At 43.9% G+C, this 17,326-nt stretch overlaps 1 protein-coding gene across 5 annotated transcripts in view; it reads left to right on the forward strand.

Moving 5' to 3' along the window:
• NBPF8 (NBPF member 8) overlaps positions 1-17,326 on the forward strand; it is a 54,650-nt gene that overhangs the window by 33,174 nt on the left and 4,150 nt on the right. For 2 of the 5 annotated variants that reach the window (NM_001037501.5, XM_047429836.1), the window contains 14 exons: positions 993-1,202; positions 2,980-3,082; positions 3,917-4,131; positions 5,172-5,244; positions 5,709-5,914; positions 7,209-7,260; positions 11,167-11,330; positions 12,373-12,424; positions 13,054-13,226; positions 13,946-13,997; positions 14,594-14,766; positions 15,476-15,527; positions 16,176-16,348; positions 17,063-17,171. In NM_001037501.5, coding sequence (NP_001032590.2) covers positions 993-1,202; positions 2,980-3,082; positions 3,917-4,131; positions 5,172-5,244; positions 5,709-5,914; positions 7,209-7,260; positions 11,167-11,330; positions 12,373-12,424; positions 13,054-13,226; positions 13,946-13,997; positions 14,594-14,766; positions 15,476-15,527; positions 16,176-16,348; positions 17,063-17,171 — 1,807 coding nt within the window. Of the gene's footprint in view, positions 1-992; positions 1,203-2,979; positions 3,083-3,916; positions 4,132-5,171; positions 5,245-5,708; positions 5,915-7,208; positions 7,261-11,166; positions 11,331-12,372; positions 12,425-13,053; positions 13,227-13,945; positions 13,998-14,593; positions 14,767-15,475; positions 15,528-16,175; positions 16,349-17,062; positions 17,172-17,326 lie in introns of those variants that run through there. The other 3 variants (NR_102404.3, NR_102405.3, XM_047429843.1) reach the window with 2 other exon arrangements.

The raw sequence follows: 17,326 nt of genomic DNA on the forward strand, positions 1-17,326 counted from the left end.
CTCTCCTTTTCATTGGCTTGTCTTAGCTATTAATAAGAAGTCTCGGCCTGGCGCGGTGGCTCACACATGTAATCCGAGCACTTTGGGAGGCCGGGGCGGGTGGATCACGAGGTCAGGAGATCGAGACCATCCTGGCTAACACGGTGAAACGCCGTCTTTACTAAAAATACAAAAAAAAAAAAAAAATTAGCTGGGCGCGGTGGTGGGCGCCTGTAGTCCCAGCTACTCAGGAGGCTGAGGCAGGAGAATGGCATGAACCCAGGAACCGGAGCTTGCAGTGAGCCGAGATTGTGCCACTGCACTCCAGCCTGGGAGACAGAGCGAGACTCCATCTCAAAAAAAAAAGTAAGTCTCTGACCAGGGGCGCTGGCTCACATCTTAATCCCAGCACTTTGGGAGGCTGAGGTGGGCAGAACACCTGAGGTCAGGAGTTCGAAACCAGCCTGTCCAAGATGGCGAAACCCCATCTCTACTAAAAATACAAAAATTAGCTGGCATGTTACTTGGCGCTTGTAATCCCAGATGCTTGGCAGGCTGAGGGATGAGAATCGCTTGAACCCGGGCGGCAGAGGTGGCAGTGAGCTGAGATTGTGCCTCTGCACTGCAGCCTGCACGACAGAGTGAGACTCCGTCTCAAACAAAAAACAAAAAACCAAAAAAGAAAAAAATTAAAAAAGCAAAATGAAATCTTTTGTGCTACACAGAAACATTGGCCACTCATGGGGTAAAAATCTCAGGGCCAAGCCTTGCTTTATAGAAACTTATAAGCAAGAAAAGTGTAGAAGTGTTTATGTCCTGGTTTCAAGGTGACTGCATAGCTGAGACAAGTTGACTTAAAGGAGATCAAGACTGGAGATGACAAGAGTGAAACCAGGGAAACATCATCTTCAAATAAGTAAACAAGGCTGCCAGTGACATCCCTCAGTCCTGATTAAGCCTATTTGATTTCACCAGTTTTTAACCCATCATGTGTTTGCCTTTCTTCTCCCCAGTCCCTGGCCCCACCTCTTCTGCCACAAACGTCAGCATGGTGGTATCAGCCGGCCCTTTGTCCAGCGAGAAGGCAGAGATGAACATTCTAGAAATCAATGAGAAATTGCACCCCCAGCTGGCAGAGAAGAAACAGCAGTTCAGAAACCTCAAAGAGAAATGTTTTCTAACTCAACTGGCCGGCTTCCTGGCCAACCGACAGAACAAATACAGTAAGATCTACAGGCTCACCATCATGAAAGTGATGAATGATATCCTGTCTTCTCTCTGAGACACTAAATGCTCTCTCCATCAAAAATAATTTCATCCTTCCTGTACTTCTAGGAAAACAGAAATGGGTATTTTAACATTTTGTCAAAGTTGGAAGACAGAGGTACCAAAGTATTTAGCAACTTTCCATGTTTTCAATCAGGTGGGGGTGGGACTAGAGTTAAACTGCCATTTATTGATTTCTGACACAGGCACAGAATGACCTGTTTTCTCCAAGAGGCTCAATCGTGTTTTCAAGAATCCTCTCTACCATATAAGATCCTGCAGACAAATAACATCTAGTCTGTTGTTCTAAATGTCTGAGACTAGTGAACTTTTATTCAGTTCAAGTTTCTGTTGAGGCCCAACAGACAAAGCTCTGTTCTAGTGACTCTGAGGGAAACTTGGTGATAGTAGCCAGTACCTGCTCTGAGGGCTTCAAGAGGAGTCTATTCCTAATAGAACCTGTGCTGTCTATAAGTGACAGCATCAAGAGCAGGGAGTAGGGGCCGTGCATGGTGGCTCACTCCTGTAATCCCAGCACTTTGGGAGGCTGAGGCGGGCAGATCATCAGGTCAGGAGTTTGGGACCAGCCTGGGCAACATGGAGAAACCCCATCTTCACTAAAAATACAAAAAGTAGATGGGCGTGGTGGCAGGTGACTGTAATCACCCCTGCTCAGGAGGCTGAGGCAGGAGAATCCTTTGAACCCAGGAGGCTGAGGTTGCAGTGAGCCAAGGTTTTGCCATTGCACTCCAGCCTGGGCGACAGGGCAAGACTGTTAAAAATAATAATAATAATAATGATAAATAAAAATAAGAATAAAAAGCAGAGAGTAGCTTGGTGAGAGTGAAGTCCTGCTTCCTGGGGCACAGAGTCTTGTTGCTAAAGAGGAAGAAAGATCCCACCCGAGAATGTGTGGAGATAGCAGTGCAGTGTACAGAGCAGGGACCGTGGGCCTGTCTCCTGGGATCCATCCAAGTTGCTTGTCTTGTCTGTCCCTCAGTTTCCTCACCTGTTCAGAGGGTACTACAATAATACCTACCTCTGTAAATTGCTGCAGTGAATTACATGAGCTATTTCTTGTCAGTCTCCTAGAACATTTATTGGCACACAGTAAACACTATCTATTAGTTCTTCATTCTGCTGTTTCTAAATTAACACAAACTTTATTAGCATTTGGGCATATTTCCTTCATGGCCTTATGGTGTTATGTGTCACACTTTATGCTTCAGATATGATTCTTAAAATCATAACTGAAGATATGATTTAAAAATCAAAGATTTTAAAAATCTTTCGCATACTTGTCCTTGAAATTCCCAGTGAAAGGGAAACCATCAGTCCCATAGTCCTAGGGGCCTTCCCGACTGTACAAGAAATCACTACTTCATGCCCCAGTGCAGTGTTTTAGAGGAGAGGCTGCAAGGCTTGGGAAAGTGGCCCCGCATTCAGAGTCAGACCTCAGGGACTGTGAATTCTGACTCCACTTCGTTGTGGTTGAATCATCTTGTCAACTTCCTTGATGTGCCCTTGAGGTTCTCTTTCTTCATCTCTAAATTTTGGAGGATCAGATGCCAGAAAGTCAGGAGACTGAAGAGTAAAGATGTGGAAATCCCTGTCTAGACCCTGGTACTGGGGAGAGTTTTGTCCTTGGGATGGACCTGGCTCCTGTCCTGTAGGCAATGACCACAGCAGCATGTCCAGCCTTCCACTGAGGCAGGCGTGTCTGTCTTTTCTCAGAATATGAAGAGTGCAAAGATCTCATAAAATCTATGCTGAGGAATGAGCGACAGTTCAAGGAGGAGAAGCTTGCAGAGCAGCTCAAGCAAGCTGAGGAGCTCAGGTGAGGGGACCCCATGGGGGCAGGCAGGGGGCAGGTGTGTAAATCTCTGAAGTACAGCAGCTCGGTGGGGAGACGTAAGAGCTAAGCTGGGCCAGGGGAAGGGCAGGAATTGCCATGGCAGGCTCGCTACACACAAATATTTATCAAACAGAGAAGGAGGATAGTAAAAATGTATGGGTTGCAGTTGTTTCTCAGAGCCTTGTTTTCTCTTTTTCAAACAAGTAATTGTTGATGTGAAATTTACATAACACAAAATTAACCAAAGGAGTGTGAACCACACAGCAGCATTCAGTATACTCAAAATGGTGTGCCATCACCACCCCACTTACCCTTAGTGAGAATCACCTCCTGACTGACTGCGGCTTCTCATTCTTTCACTCAATCAATGTTGCCTTCTCGACCCTGTCATTCTTTTCTTCTTTCGTCTTTTCAATTCGCCCCATCTGCACCTGGCCTCATTTCTGTACATGGCTTTGTATCTAGTGGCCGCAAGATGCACTATGTGTATTTTCACATGGAATTGTCCATGGCCAGAGTGAGGAACTGAAAGGATGTCTTTTTGAAATGGAATTAGGAAGACACCTACTTTTGTTTACAGAAGAGAAAGATGAATGGAACATCATCGAGGATCTTGCAAGAGCTCTCTGTGATACAGAGGAAGCCTGTAAACCATTTTCTATTCTTTCTCTTGGCCACAGACATTCCTTTCAACATGTGCTGACCTTCTGTTTCAAGGTCTCCTTGAGGACATTGTCTCAGAAGTCTCTGTTGCAATATTTGAGCGGATCACTCAACCCTTTCCACTCTTAAATTTTCTCTACCGTCTCACCTTAGGCAATATAAAGTCCTGGTTCACACTCAGGAACGAGAGCTGACCCAGTTAAGGGAGAAGTTGCGGGAAGGGAGAGATGCCTCCCTCTCATTGAATGAGCATCTCCAGGCCCTCCTCACTCCGGATGAGCCGGACAAGTCCCAGGGGCAGGACCTCCAAGAACAGCTGGCTGAGGGGTGTAGACTGGCACAGCACCTTGTCCAAAAGCTCAGCCCAGGTAAGGTGGCCATAGGCCCTGATGACCCAAAATCCCAGGCTTATGAGAGACTCCAGACCTCCATACTTTCACAATGACAGTTGTATCAATGGTGTTTTTTTCCACTAAGCTTATGTGGCCATGACATGACCAGGACTTCTTGGGTAAGAACGGAGATGGGAAACCCATGGGGTTGGAGGTCACAGTATTGCAAGTGTCCCTCCTCCCTTGATGGAAGGTGGTCTCTGGAGCAAGAGGCAGCATCTGTCTAGTTTTAAAGGACAGGAAGGAGGCTGCGATGGGAGCAGGCTTGTTAGAGTGAAAAGAGCTCTGGACTAAGAATGAAGGTTCCCAGGCTGTCTTTTCGGCAATGTTCTTAGTAACTGTCAGAGAGTGAATGACTTGTCCTTCCTGAGTTTCTCTCTCTCCGTGGCAGACAAATTGTCTCTTGCAAGGGTCGAAGCATTCAAATGTGGGAACACTTACAACTGCTTTCCAAAATGAGATGAAGGCCCTCGCCGTGTGATGTTGGAGAAGGCACTTTATGTGGGGGCGTTTTGTGGTAGGAAGTGCTTCAGACTGGAGCGCTCCCCATGGATAGAATGTCCCTGAAGAACACAGCAGAAGCCACTTGGAGGCTTGAAATCTTCTGATGCATAGAGGACTGTGGGACAAGTTTGTCTGCTTCTAAGAGAAAGAATTAGGTTTGAAATGCAAACCGTGACAGGACACCAAGCCTGTGCCTGGGAATCAGATCTGGCAGGATGGGGGAGACAGCTGCCAACGTCCAGAGAGAGGCTGCACAAGCCTCCAGTGATATGGGAAGCAAAAGGTCTTTTCAATATTTGGCCACATCTTGATGGTGGCCCTCCAGATCAGAAATGCATTGCCTGATGGATCAGGAAACCATGCCAGGGCATTCTGTTAAAGATAAAACATGAGAGTTTTCAGTTGAACGGTGACCCATGCCTAGATGTTCATGTCTCTGTTGCACATTGGGCTGACTGTGCTTGCAGACTGTGAAGTGGGAAATATCTGAACGAACACTTCTGTATTTACAGAAAATGACAACGATGACGATGAAGATGTTCAAGTTGAGGTGGCTGAGAAAGTGCAGAAATCGTCTGCCCCCAGGTAACACTGAATACTCAGGAACAATTAATGGATGGTAACATATGAGGAATATCTAGGAGGCACACCCTCTCTGGCATCTATGATGGGTCAAAAACCCGCATTTGCTTAGCCACAGTATGTGAAATATAACCCAGCTTAGACACAGGGTGCGGTAGCTGTCATGTTTCTCTATGTGTGCCGAGTGTCATGTCTGTACCGTACAGGGATAGCTGAGTCTTCATCCTCCTCAGCTCCTATCTGTCCAGTGCAATGAACAGCAGCTGCTCTCTTCCTCTCTGGTTCCCATGGCAGCCATGCTCTGTTGCAGAGAGAACAGGATTGCATGTTCCCTCTTAATGGGAACCTCCATTTTGCTTTCTGGGACCACTCTCTTAATGCCGCCTGTCAAAACCAGCTAGGACTCCCTGGGGTCCAATCCCTCTGTGTTTAATCTTCTGTCATCTCTGTCCCACCTGGCTCATCAGGGAGATGCAGAAGGCTGAAGAAAAGGAAGTCCCTGAGGACTCACTGGAGGAATGTGCCATCACTTATTCAAATAGCCATGGCCCTTATGACTCCAACCAGCCACATAGGAAAACCAAAATCACATTTGAGGAAGACAAAGTCGACTCAGCTCTCATTGGCTCATCCTCTCATGTTGAATGGGAGGATGCTGTACACATTATTCCAGGTAGCCTCTGTTTTCCTTGTGTCTCATACCTCTCTCTAGGCTGAGGAAGATAAACTCTGAAGACAGGCTCTATAAACACAAATTCATTTGAATAAAAAACTGTGATGGGTTTCTAAACAGATATCAGGGAGTTTTTTTGTCCTTCACAGCTAATGTCATGACTTTGTCTGCCAGTCCCCAGTATCAAGTTACTCAACCCCAGGCAAGTGTGACAATCTCATAGTCACCTGAGTGCAGGAGGTGCACAGGCAGTATCTGTCAGGCCTCCTAGCTTCGATTCAGTATCTCTTGTCATCTGTGATTAAGTCATCTGTCCCTGAACAATGTCCATGGAGTTTCTATGCCTGTTTAAGGAAGCTGGCAGCCTTGCCTTTGTATTTGGAATTATTGTTCCCCAGGCTTCACTGCTCTCAGCTTTCATCTGGATCTCCTTTAAGTCAGCTTGCTTAGCTGCACAGTCACCCTGAAATCAGTACGGAAACTTTTCTTCTTTACTTTGCTGATATATTTCCATAAAGCAAGGCTGGACCCTGGTTCTCCACCCTGTCAATGCAATGGCTGATCCAATGTTTCTTTGTAGCATCGTGGATTTTTTTTTTTTTTTTTTTTTTTTTTTTTGCGATGGAGTCTTGCTCTGTCACCCAGGCTGGAGTGCAGTGGCACCATCTTGGCTTGGTGCAACCTCTGCCTCCCAGATTCAAGTGATTCTCCTGCCTCAGCCTCCTGAGTTGCTGGGACCACAGGTGCACAACATCACATCTGGCTAATTTTTGTATTTTTAGTAGAGACAGGGTTTCCCCATGTTGGCCAGGGTAGTCCTGAACTCATGACCTCAAATGATTCACCTGTCTTGGCCTCCCAAATCACAGATTCTTTTTAAAGCAAGAGTTGTTCAAATTTATCTATCAGTCGTGTTTCATGTATAGATGCCTCTAAACATTTAATGTCCATGTTACCTGGTGATATAAGTCCATATCGCAGCAACACTCTTAGAAAATTGTTTGACCAATTTTTGGAGATTTTTTTGGGGAAAAAATTTTGTTTAACTTTGACTCAAGCAGGGAATATGGCATTATGGTCTACATGTAGAGGGAGATTTTGGCCTGTGGGTCTGGAAAGCAGGGTCATCTAATTCTCACCAAAGTTAATCTAGGACAACCTAGAATATTCCTGTCAGAATCCTTATTCTTGCACTGAGAATAGTTATGTCCTTGTGCTATGATTGGACAGTGATTTGTTCATATGTGAAGTATGAATTGCTTAATGTGACCTGCTTCTCTGAATTTATTTACAGAAAATGAAAGTGATGATGAGGAAGAGGAAGAAAAAGGACCAGTGTCTCCCAGGTAATGTTGTGGAATTGTTGGCTGTTAATTCAGTAGTGACATCTGGAGATTGTAGATTTAGGGAAAATGAGGAAGTGATGAATAGAACTATTTCTTCCATTCACCCAGCTACAAATTGTGCTGATTTACAATGTTGTATGTTATTTGTGGCACTTGTATTGGTTTTAATTTCATAGTCCTCTCAAGATAGGAACTTGCCATCAGATGAGCCAGGTGAACTAGCCAAACAGGGTTTTCTTGTTGATCTTTTCAAAAAACCAGCCCTGGATTCATTGATTTTTTGAAGGGTTTTTTGTGTCTCTATCTCCTTTAGTTCTGCTCTGATCTTAGTTACTTCTTGTCTTCTGCTAGCTTTTGAATTTGTTTGCTTTGCTTCTCTCGTTATTTTAATTGTGATGTTAGGGTGTCAATTTTAGATCTTTTCTGCTTTCTCTTGTGGGCATTTAGTGCTATAATTTTCCCTCTACACATTGCTTTAAATGTGTCCCAGAGATTCTGGTATGTTGTGTCTTTTTTCTCATTGGTTTCAAAGAACATCTTTATTTCTGCCTTCATTTTGTTATTTTCCCAGTAGTCATTCAGGAGCAGGTTGTTCAGTTTCCATGTAGTTGTGCGGTTTTGAGTGAGTTTCTTAATCCTGAGTTCTAATTTGATGGCACTGTGGTCTGACAGTTTGTTGTGATTTCCATTCTTTTACATTTGCTGACGAGTGCTTTACCTCCAACTATGTGGTCAATTTTGGAATAAGTGTGATGTGGTGCTGAGAAGAATGTATATTCTGTTGATTTGGGGTGGAGGGTTCTGTAGATGTCTTTTAGGTCTGCTTGGTGGAGAGCTGAGTTCAAGTCCTGGATATCCTTGTTAAGCTTCTGTCTCATTGATCTGTCTAATATTGACACTGGGGTGTTAAAGTCTCCCATTATGATTGTGTGGAGTCTAAATCTCTTTGTAGGTCTCTCAGGACTTGCTTTATAAATCTGGGTGCTCCTGTATAGGGTGCATATATATTTAGGATAGTTAACTCTTCTTGTTGAATTGATCCCTTTACCATTATGTAGTGGCCTTCTTGTCTCTTTTGATCTTTGTTGTTTGAAAGTCTGTTTTATCAGAGACTAGGATTGCAACCCCTGCCTTTTTTTGTTTTCCATTTGCTTGGTAGATCTTCCTCCATCCCTTTATTTTGAGCCTATGTGTGTCTCTGCATGTGAGATGGGTTTCCTGAGTACAGCACACTGATGGGTCTTGACTCTTTATCCAATTTGCCATTCTGTGTTTTTTAACTGGGGCATTTAGCCCATTTACATTTAAGGTTAATATTGTTATGTGTGAATTTGATCCTGTCGTTATGATGTTAGCTGGTTATTTCGCCCGTTAGTTGATGCAATTTCTTCCTAGCGTCAATGGTCTTTACAGTTTGGCATGTTTTTGCAGTGGCTGGTACCGGTTGTTCCTTTCCATGTTTAGTGCTTCCTTTAGGAGCTCTTGTAAGGCAGGCCTGGTGGTGACAAAATCTCTCAGCATTTGCTTCTCTGTAAAGGATTTATTTCTCCTTCACTTATGAAGCTTTGTTTGGCTGGATATGAAATTCTTGGTTGAAAATTCTTTTCTTTAAGAATGTTGAAGATGCTGGAGAGGATGTGGAGAAATAGGAACACTTTTACACTGTTGGTGGGACTGTAAACTAGTTCAACGATTGTGGAAGGCAGTGTGGCAATTCCTCAGGGATCTAGAACTAGAAATACCATTTGACCCAGCCATCCCATTACTGGGTGTATACCCAAAGGATTATAAATCATGCTGCTGTAAAGACACATGCACACATATGTTTATTGCGGCACTATTCACAATAGCAAAGACTTGGAACCAAGCCAAATATCCAGCAATGATAGACTGGATTAAGAAAATGTGGCACATATACACCATGGAATACTATGCAGCTATAAAAAATGATGAGTTCATGTCCTTTGTAGGGGCATGGATGAAGCTGGAAACCATCATTCTCAGCAAACTATTGCAAGGACAAAAAACCAAATACCGCATGTTCTTACTCACAGGTGGGAATTGAACAATGAGAACACATGGACACAGAAAGGGGAACATCACACACTGGGGCCTGTTGTAGGGTGGGGGGAGGGAGGAGGGGTAGCATTAGGAGATATACCTAATGTTAAATGATGAGTTAATGGGTGAAGCACACCAATGTGGACATGTATACATATGTAACTAACCTGCACGTTGTGCACATGTACCCTAAGACTTAAAGTATTAAAAAAAAAATATATATATATATATACATACACACAAAAAATAATAAAGGAAAACTATACATATGGAAAAAAAAAAGAATGTTGAATATTGCTCCCACTCTCTTCTGGCTTGTAGGGTTTGTGCCAAGAGATCTGCTGCTAGTCTGATGGGTTTCCCTTTGTGGGTAATCCGACCTTTCTCTCTGGCTGCCCTTAGCATTTTTTCCTTCATTTCAACCTTGGTGAATCTGACAATTACGTGTTTTGGGGTTGCTCTTCTCGAGGAGTATCTTTATGGTGTTCTCTGTGTTTCCTGAATTTGAATGTTGGCCTTCCTTGCTAGGTTGGGGAAGTCCTCCTGGATAATATCCTGAAGAATGTTTCCCAGCTTGGTTCCATTCTCCCCGTCACTTTCAGTACACCAATCAAACGTAGATTTGGTCTTTCCACATAGTCCCATATTTATTGGAGGCTTGTTCATTTCTTTTTACTCTTTTTTCTCTAAACTTCTCTTCTCGCTTCATTTCACTAATTTGATCTTGAATCACTGATACCGTTTCTTGCACTTGATCGAATTGGCTACTGAAGCTTGTGCATGCATCACATAGTTCTCGTGCCATGGTTTTCAGCTCCATCAGGTCATTTAAGGTCTTCTCTACACTGTTCATTCTGGTTAGCCATTCGTCTAATCTTTTTTCAAGGTTTTTAGCTTCCTTGCGATGAGTTCGCACATCCTCCTTTAGCTCAGAGAAGTTTGTTATTACCGACTTTCTGAAGCCTACTTCTGTCAGCTCATCAAAGTCATTCTCCATCCTGCTTTGTTCCATTGCTGGCGAGGAGCTGCGATCCTTTGGAGGAGAAGGGATGTCAGGTTTTTGGAATTTTCAGCTTTTGTGCTCTGGTTTCTCCCCACCTTTGTGGTTTTATCTACCCTTGGTCTTTGATGATGGCGACCTACAGATGGGGTTTTGGGGTGGATGTCTTTTTTGTTGATGTTGATGCTATTCCTTTCTGTGTGTTAGTTTTCCTTCTAACAGTCAGGTCCCTCAGCTTCAGGTCTGTTGGAGTTTGCTGGAAGTCCACTCCAGACCCTCAAACAGGGATTTCTTGGTGTTGCCTATTCTCTCCCATGTGTTTAAATCCAGGGAGAGGTGTATATATGCTTTCTTCCTATTTGTTGGTAGTATGTTGGCTAGTATTTTTGCAAGAAAAGAAATTGAAAAAGTAAATATATTATATCAAAATATTGGGAAAATGGGGCCCTTAATACACAAGATCTGTGTCTGCACTGCGTCAAGAACTCTCTTCACTTGAATGCTGCATGTAAAATTCAACCCAATTTATGCAAAGTAGTTGAAGCCCTGTGTCAGTTCTCTGTGCTGCAAGTCATGATGGTAGTTTACAGGGAGAGTCTGGGTGCCCTGAGTTGGCTCATCTGTGGCAAATGTACTGAGCACATGCTGCCCATTTTTGCTCTGTCCCCAGAGCAGTCACCCTCCACCCTGTATTTAGAAGGATAGTTTTATTTCTCTTGAAGGAAAAATGCCTTTGGTTTCTGTGACCACTCCATTCTGTCTCCCATCAGATCATCTGGGAGGTTTTGTTGTCTAATGTCTGTTGGTTAAATCTTCTATCATCCCTGTCCTGCCTGGCTCATCAGGAATCTGCAGGAGTCTGAAGAGGAGGAAGTCCCCCAGGAGTCCTGGGATGAAGGTTATTCGACTCTCTCAATTCCTCCTGAAATGTTGGCCTCGTACAAGTCTTACAGCAGCACATTTCACTCATTAGAGGAACAGCAAGTCTGCATGGCTGTTGACATAGGCAGTGAGTACTCCATTGTGAAGGTGATAAAGCTCCAGTTCATGGCCCAGGTAGACCCCATAATCTTTGGGCCTTGTGCCGCTTGTTGGGCTGAGATTTGCCATCACTGTGGGCTGAACCTATATATCAATGTAGATTTCAATCACTCTGGAGTCGAGTCTGAAGCACAGGCATGGGGTGGGTCAGTGAGCTTTGCTCTCTTCCTAGTCTCACGCCATGCCCGTGCCAACCTGGACTGACTGTCACGATATTGAACTCAAGGCAGGTGTGGCAAACTCACACCAAACTATGCAGCACATGCCCAGGAGTTGTCTGTCAGCTCAGCTCATCTGAATTAAATGTCTCTTGCCAGCTACAAAATTCCTTATGAGTTTTGTTCCCAAAGCATGTCTGTGTGGTTCTTTACCTGCCCAAGGCCAGTGTCACCCTTGTCTACCTCTCAGTGAAAGATGTGACCCAGGTTTCACTGAATTTATTCCCATTTTCTGTGTCTTCTAAGTTCGCTTGCTTTAGCTCATCTGTCCGTCATGTTCCTGGTATGTTTTCTAGATAAATGGCTGACTTTTCACCCACAAAAGCCATAATAGCTGATGCTTCTGTGTAGAACCAAGTTTCATTTTGACTCAAGAGCTGGTACATTGCACCCCCTCATCAAATCTCTGTGTCCACAATCTCATAAACTATCAAATTCTGGGTATTTGATGAGAGAAAGCTTAATATTGAAGTATCTCTCCTATGAGGTGTTAGAACTATTTGCCTACAATTTATTGGGGAAAAAATTGCTCATTTGTGTACATAAACCTAGGACAGAGCACATAGGGAAGATAACATTCCAACTCAGGGGAATTTTGCCCAAGGCTCATGAAAGAACCCAAGCCAGTTTTCTCAAGACTTGACCTCAGGCCTACTGGAATATTTCTCTCAAAGTCTCCTGTTCTCACATTGACAAGACTGATGTCCCTGTGTTAGGATTGGACAGAGGAATGTTTCTGTGTGCAAGGAAGAACTGCTTAATGTAAGAGGGCCCATATGAATTTATTTGCAGGACATCGGTGGGATCAAGTGAAAAAGGAGGACCAAGAGGCAACAGGTCCCAGGTGAGTCTGAGAAATTGTGGACAGTTAATTTGATGTTGACACCTGGAGATGCCAAGTCCAGGGAAAACAGTACATGCTGAAAATAATGATTTTGTCTTGTCAGACAAGTCTGAATTACGCCTACTACATTGCTTTTTGGTTCTCATTAGAGTAAATGTTTAGGTTTCCATTTCTTCCTACCCTTATCATTTACTAACCTAGTGAAAGTTGACCATACCTCAAAAGCTGTATTCTCATGGTAACTGCAGGGAAACTTGAGCACATTTTATGCAAAATTATTGAGGACAGGCTTTTCATGATCACTGTTCACTGTGTGTCCTGAGAGCACAAATACAGAGTGTCCTTTGACTCCCTCATCAGTGTGTCACCTGACCAATTCACTGAGCTCGAACTGTGTGTGTGTGTGTGTGTGTGTGTGTGTGTGTGTGTGTGTGTGTGTGTCTTTCTCTTTCATCCTTTTCTACCTGGCCCTAGTCTATCCCAACATAAAGGCAATAATTTGTTACCTCATTAATGGATCTGTCCTTTTTCTTTTCAAACTCTTCCTTATGTTAGCCATGAAATCTAGCTGGGGCTGTGTGGTTTCTGATTCCCCATGGCTTATTCTTTACTTTTTCCCACTTTTCCAGGCTCAGCAGGGAGCTGCTGGATGAGAAAGGGCCTGAAGTCTTGCAGGACTCACTGGATAGATGTTATTCAACTCCTTCAGGTTGCCTTGAACTGACTGACTCATGCCAGCCCTACAGAAGTGCGTTTTACATATTGGAGCAACAGCGTGTTGGCTTGGCTGTTGACATGGATGGTGAGTACCTTTCTATGAAGGTGATAAGGATCCACTGAGTCTTCTGGTTAGGGTCATATTCCTACTGCAAGTGGCCCTTACTGAGCTGAGAGATGTCATTGCCACAGGGAGGACCTATAGGCACATGTAGGTTGAATGAAACTCTAGTTCCACTTGGAAGCCCAGACAAGGGATGGGTCAGTGAGCAAGGCTCTCTTCCTAGTCTCAGGCCATGCCTGTGGCGCCCTAATCCTACTCTCATGACATTGGACCTGGGCAGATGTGACAAATTCACACAACTCTGATTTTGTCTCAATTTTGTAGATCTTGTAGATTTCATCCTTCACTCTAATTTCAGCGTCTAAAATCCTCGCTACCATGAACAATCTGAGTATTTGATGAGACAGGGCTGAATAGTGCAGTTTTTCTCCTAGCAACCATTTGGGGGCATTTGCTTTAAATCGATTGGAAAAATATGGCATAACCATTTGCACAAACTTGGGACAAATGATATTGGGACAACGATCTACCAGAATAGGGAATTTTACCCACAGTTTCTGGGACAAAAACCAAGGAATCTCTATGGTGATCAGCCTTCAGGCCTCCTGAAGAATATCTCTCACAGTGTCCTATTCTCATGCTGAGGAGCCTGAAGTCCCTGTGTGAGGATTAGACAGTGGATTGTTATGTGTGTAGGAGAACCAGCTTAATATGTCTGTCCATGTCTGAACTTATTGCAGAAATTGAAAAGTACCAAGAAGTGGAAGAAGACCAAGACCCATCATGCCCCAGGTAACTTTGAGCAATTATGGATGCTTAATTCTGTGTTGACACCTGGAGATGCCAGGTCCAGGGAAAGCAAGAGTGTGTTCAATTTCATGTTTTCAACGAAGGTTGAAATACTCCTCCTGACATTGCTGTTGGTTTTCATTGCAGAAGATGTTTAGGTTTCCATTTCTTCCTCCCCTTATCATTTACTAACTTACTATAGGTTGACCATACCTCAAAGGCTGTATGGCAACTGCATGGAGTCTTGAGCAAGTTTATGGAAAATTATTGAGCCCACTCTTTTCATGATCACTGTTCGCTGTGTGTCCCGAGGGCACTAACTCAGAGTGTCCTTTGACCCCTTCATCAGTGTGTCACCCGGCCAATTCGCTGAGCTCACTTTCTCCTCTCTCTCTCTCTCCCTCTCCCTGTCTTTCTCTTTCATTCTTTTCTACCTGGCCCTGGTCTATCCCAACATAAAGGCAATAATTCATTACCTCATTAATGGATCTGTCCTTTTTCTTTTTAAACAGTTCCTTATGTTAGCCATGAAATCTAGCTGGGGCTGTGTGGTTTCTGATTCCCCCTGGCTTATTCTTTACTTTTTCCTACTTTTCCAGGCTCAGCAGGGAGCTGCTGGATGAGAAAGAGCCTGAAGTCTTGCAGGACTCACTGGATAGATGTTATTCGACTCCTTCAGGTTATCTTGAACTGCCTGACTTAGGCCAGCCCTACAGCAGTGCTGTTTACTCATTGGAGGAACAGTACCTTGGCTTGGCTCTTGACGTGGACAGTGAGTACCTTACTATGAAGGTGATAAGCCTCCACCTGGTCTTCCAGATAGGGGTGATATTCCTGTTCCAAGTGGCCCTTACTGACCCGAGAGATGTCATTGCCGCAGGCAGGACCTATGGGCGCATATAGGTTGTAATGAGACTGTAGTCTCAGCTGGAAGCCTAGACATGAAATGGGTCAGTGAGCAAGGCTCTATTCCTAGTCTCCAGCCATGCCTGTGGCAACCTGAGCCCGCTCTCAGCACATTGGACCCAGGCAGATGTAAAAAATTCACAGAAGTATGATTTGGACTCAAGGGTTTGTAGATTTCCTCCTTCATTCTAATTTCAGTGTCTCAAATTCTTGCATCCATGAACGAGCTGGGCATTTGATGAGACAGGGCTGAATACTGCAGTTTTCCTCCTAGAAATCATCTGGGGCATTTTCTTTGAACTGATGGGAACAATAAGGCATAACTGTTTGCACAAACTTGGGATAAATGATTTTGGGATAACGATCTACCAGAAGGGGGATATTTCACCCTTGGTTCTGAGATGCAAACCAAAGAATATCATGACCAGCTTTCAGGCCTCCTGAAGTACATCTCTCACATTGTCCTGTTCTCATGCTGAGGAGCCTGAGATCCCTGTGTGGGGATTAGACAGTGGACTGTTATGGGTGTAGGTGAATTGGCTTATTTTGTCTGTCCCTGTCTGAATGTATTGCAGGAATTAAAAAGGACCAAGAAGAGGAAGAAGACCAAGGCCCACCATGCCCCAGGTAACTGAGCAATTGTGAACAGCTACTTCTGTGTTGACATCTGGAGACTCCTGGTTCAGGGAAAACAGAGCGGGCTGACATTATCGATTACATCTTTTCAACCAAGCCTGAATTATTCCTACTAACATTGCTGTTGGTTTTCATTGCAGTAGATATTTAGGTTTCCATTTCTTCCTCCCCTTCTCATTTACTAACCTACTGTAGGTGGACCAGACTTCAAAAACTGTATTCTCATGGCGACTGCATGGAAACTTGAGCACATTTTATGGAAAATTATTGAGCACAGTCTTTTCATGATCCCTGTATGCTGTGTGTCCTGAGGGCACTAACTCAGAGTGTCCTGTTACTCCCTCATCAGTGTGTCACCTGGACAATTCACTGAGCTCGTTCTCTCTCTCTCTCTCTCTGTGTGTGTGTGTGTGTGTGTGTGTGTGTGTGTGTGTGTGTGTGTCTGTCTGTCTTTCTCTTTCATTCTTTTCCATTTGGCCCTGTTCTGTCCCAACATGAAGGCAATAATTTGTTACCTCATTAATGGATCTATCCTTTTACTTTTTTAACCACTTCCTTATGCTACCCATGAAACCTATTTGGGGTTCTGTTGTGTCTGATTTCCCCTGGCGTATTCTTTACTTTTTCCTCCTTTTCCAGGCTCAGCAGGGAGCTGCTGGAGGTAGTAGAGCCTGAAGTCTTGCAGGACTCACTGGATAGATGTTATTCAACTCCTTCCAGTTGTCTTGAACAGCCTGACTCCTGCCAGCCGTATGGAAGTTCCTTTTATGCATTGGAGGAAAAACATGTTGGCTTTTCTCTTGACGTGGGAGGTGAGTACCTTTCTATGAAGGTGATAAGGATCCACTGAGTCTTCCATATAAAGATCATGTTCCTGCTCCAAGTGGCCATTACTGAGCTGAGAGATGTCATTGCCACAGGGAGGACCTATAGGCACATGTAGGTTGAATGAAACTCTAGTTCTACCTGGAAGCCCAGACAAGGGATGGGTCAGTGAGCAAGACTCTCTTCCTAGTCTCAGGCCATACCTGTGGCGCCCTGATCCTACTCTCATGACATTGGACCTGGGCAGATGTGACAAATTCAGAGAACTATGATTTTGACTCAAGGGTTTGTAGATTTCCTTTTTCACTCTAATTTCAGTGTCTAAAGTCCTCACAACCATGAACAATCTGAGTATTTGATGAGACAGGGCTAAATATTGCAGTTTTTCTCCTAGAAATCATTTGAGGGTATTTGCTTTAAGTTGATTGGAAAAATATGGCATAACTGTTTGCACAAACTTGGGACAAATGATATTGGGATAACGATCTACTAGAATAGGGACATTTTACCCACAGTTTCTGGGAGAAAAACCGAGGAATTTCTATCATGACCAGCCTTCAGGCCTCCTGAAATATATCTCTCACAGTGTCCTATTCTTATGCTGAGGAGCCTGAGGTCCCTGTGTGAGGATTAGACAGTGGATTGTTATGTGTGTAGGGGAATCAGCTTAATGTGTCTGTCCATGTCTGAATTTATTGCAGAAATTGAAAAGAAGGGGAAGGGGAAGATAAGAAGGGGAAGAAGATCAAAGAAGAAAAGAAGAAGGGGAAGAAAAGAAGGGGAAGAAGATCAAAACCCACCATGCCCCAGGTAACTTTCAGCAATTGTGGATGCTTAATTCTGTGTTAACACCTGGAGGCAACAGATTCAGGGAAACCAGAGTGTGTTTGATGTCACGTTTTCAACGAAGACTGAATTACTCCTACTGTCATTGCTGTTGGTTTTCATTGCAGTAGATGTTTAGG

This window comes from Homo sapiens, chromosome 1, assembly GCF_000001405.40.
Source record: "Homo sapiens chromosome 1, GRCh38.p14 Primary Assembly".
In the NCBI taxonomy this organism is placed as follows: Eukaryota; Metazoa; Chordata; class Mammalia; order Primates; family Hominidae; genus Homo; species Homo sapiens.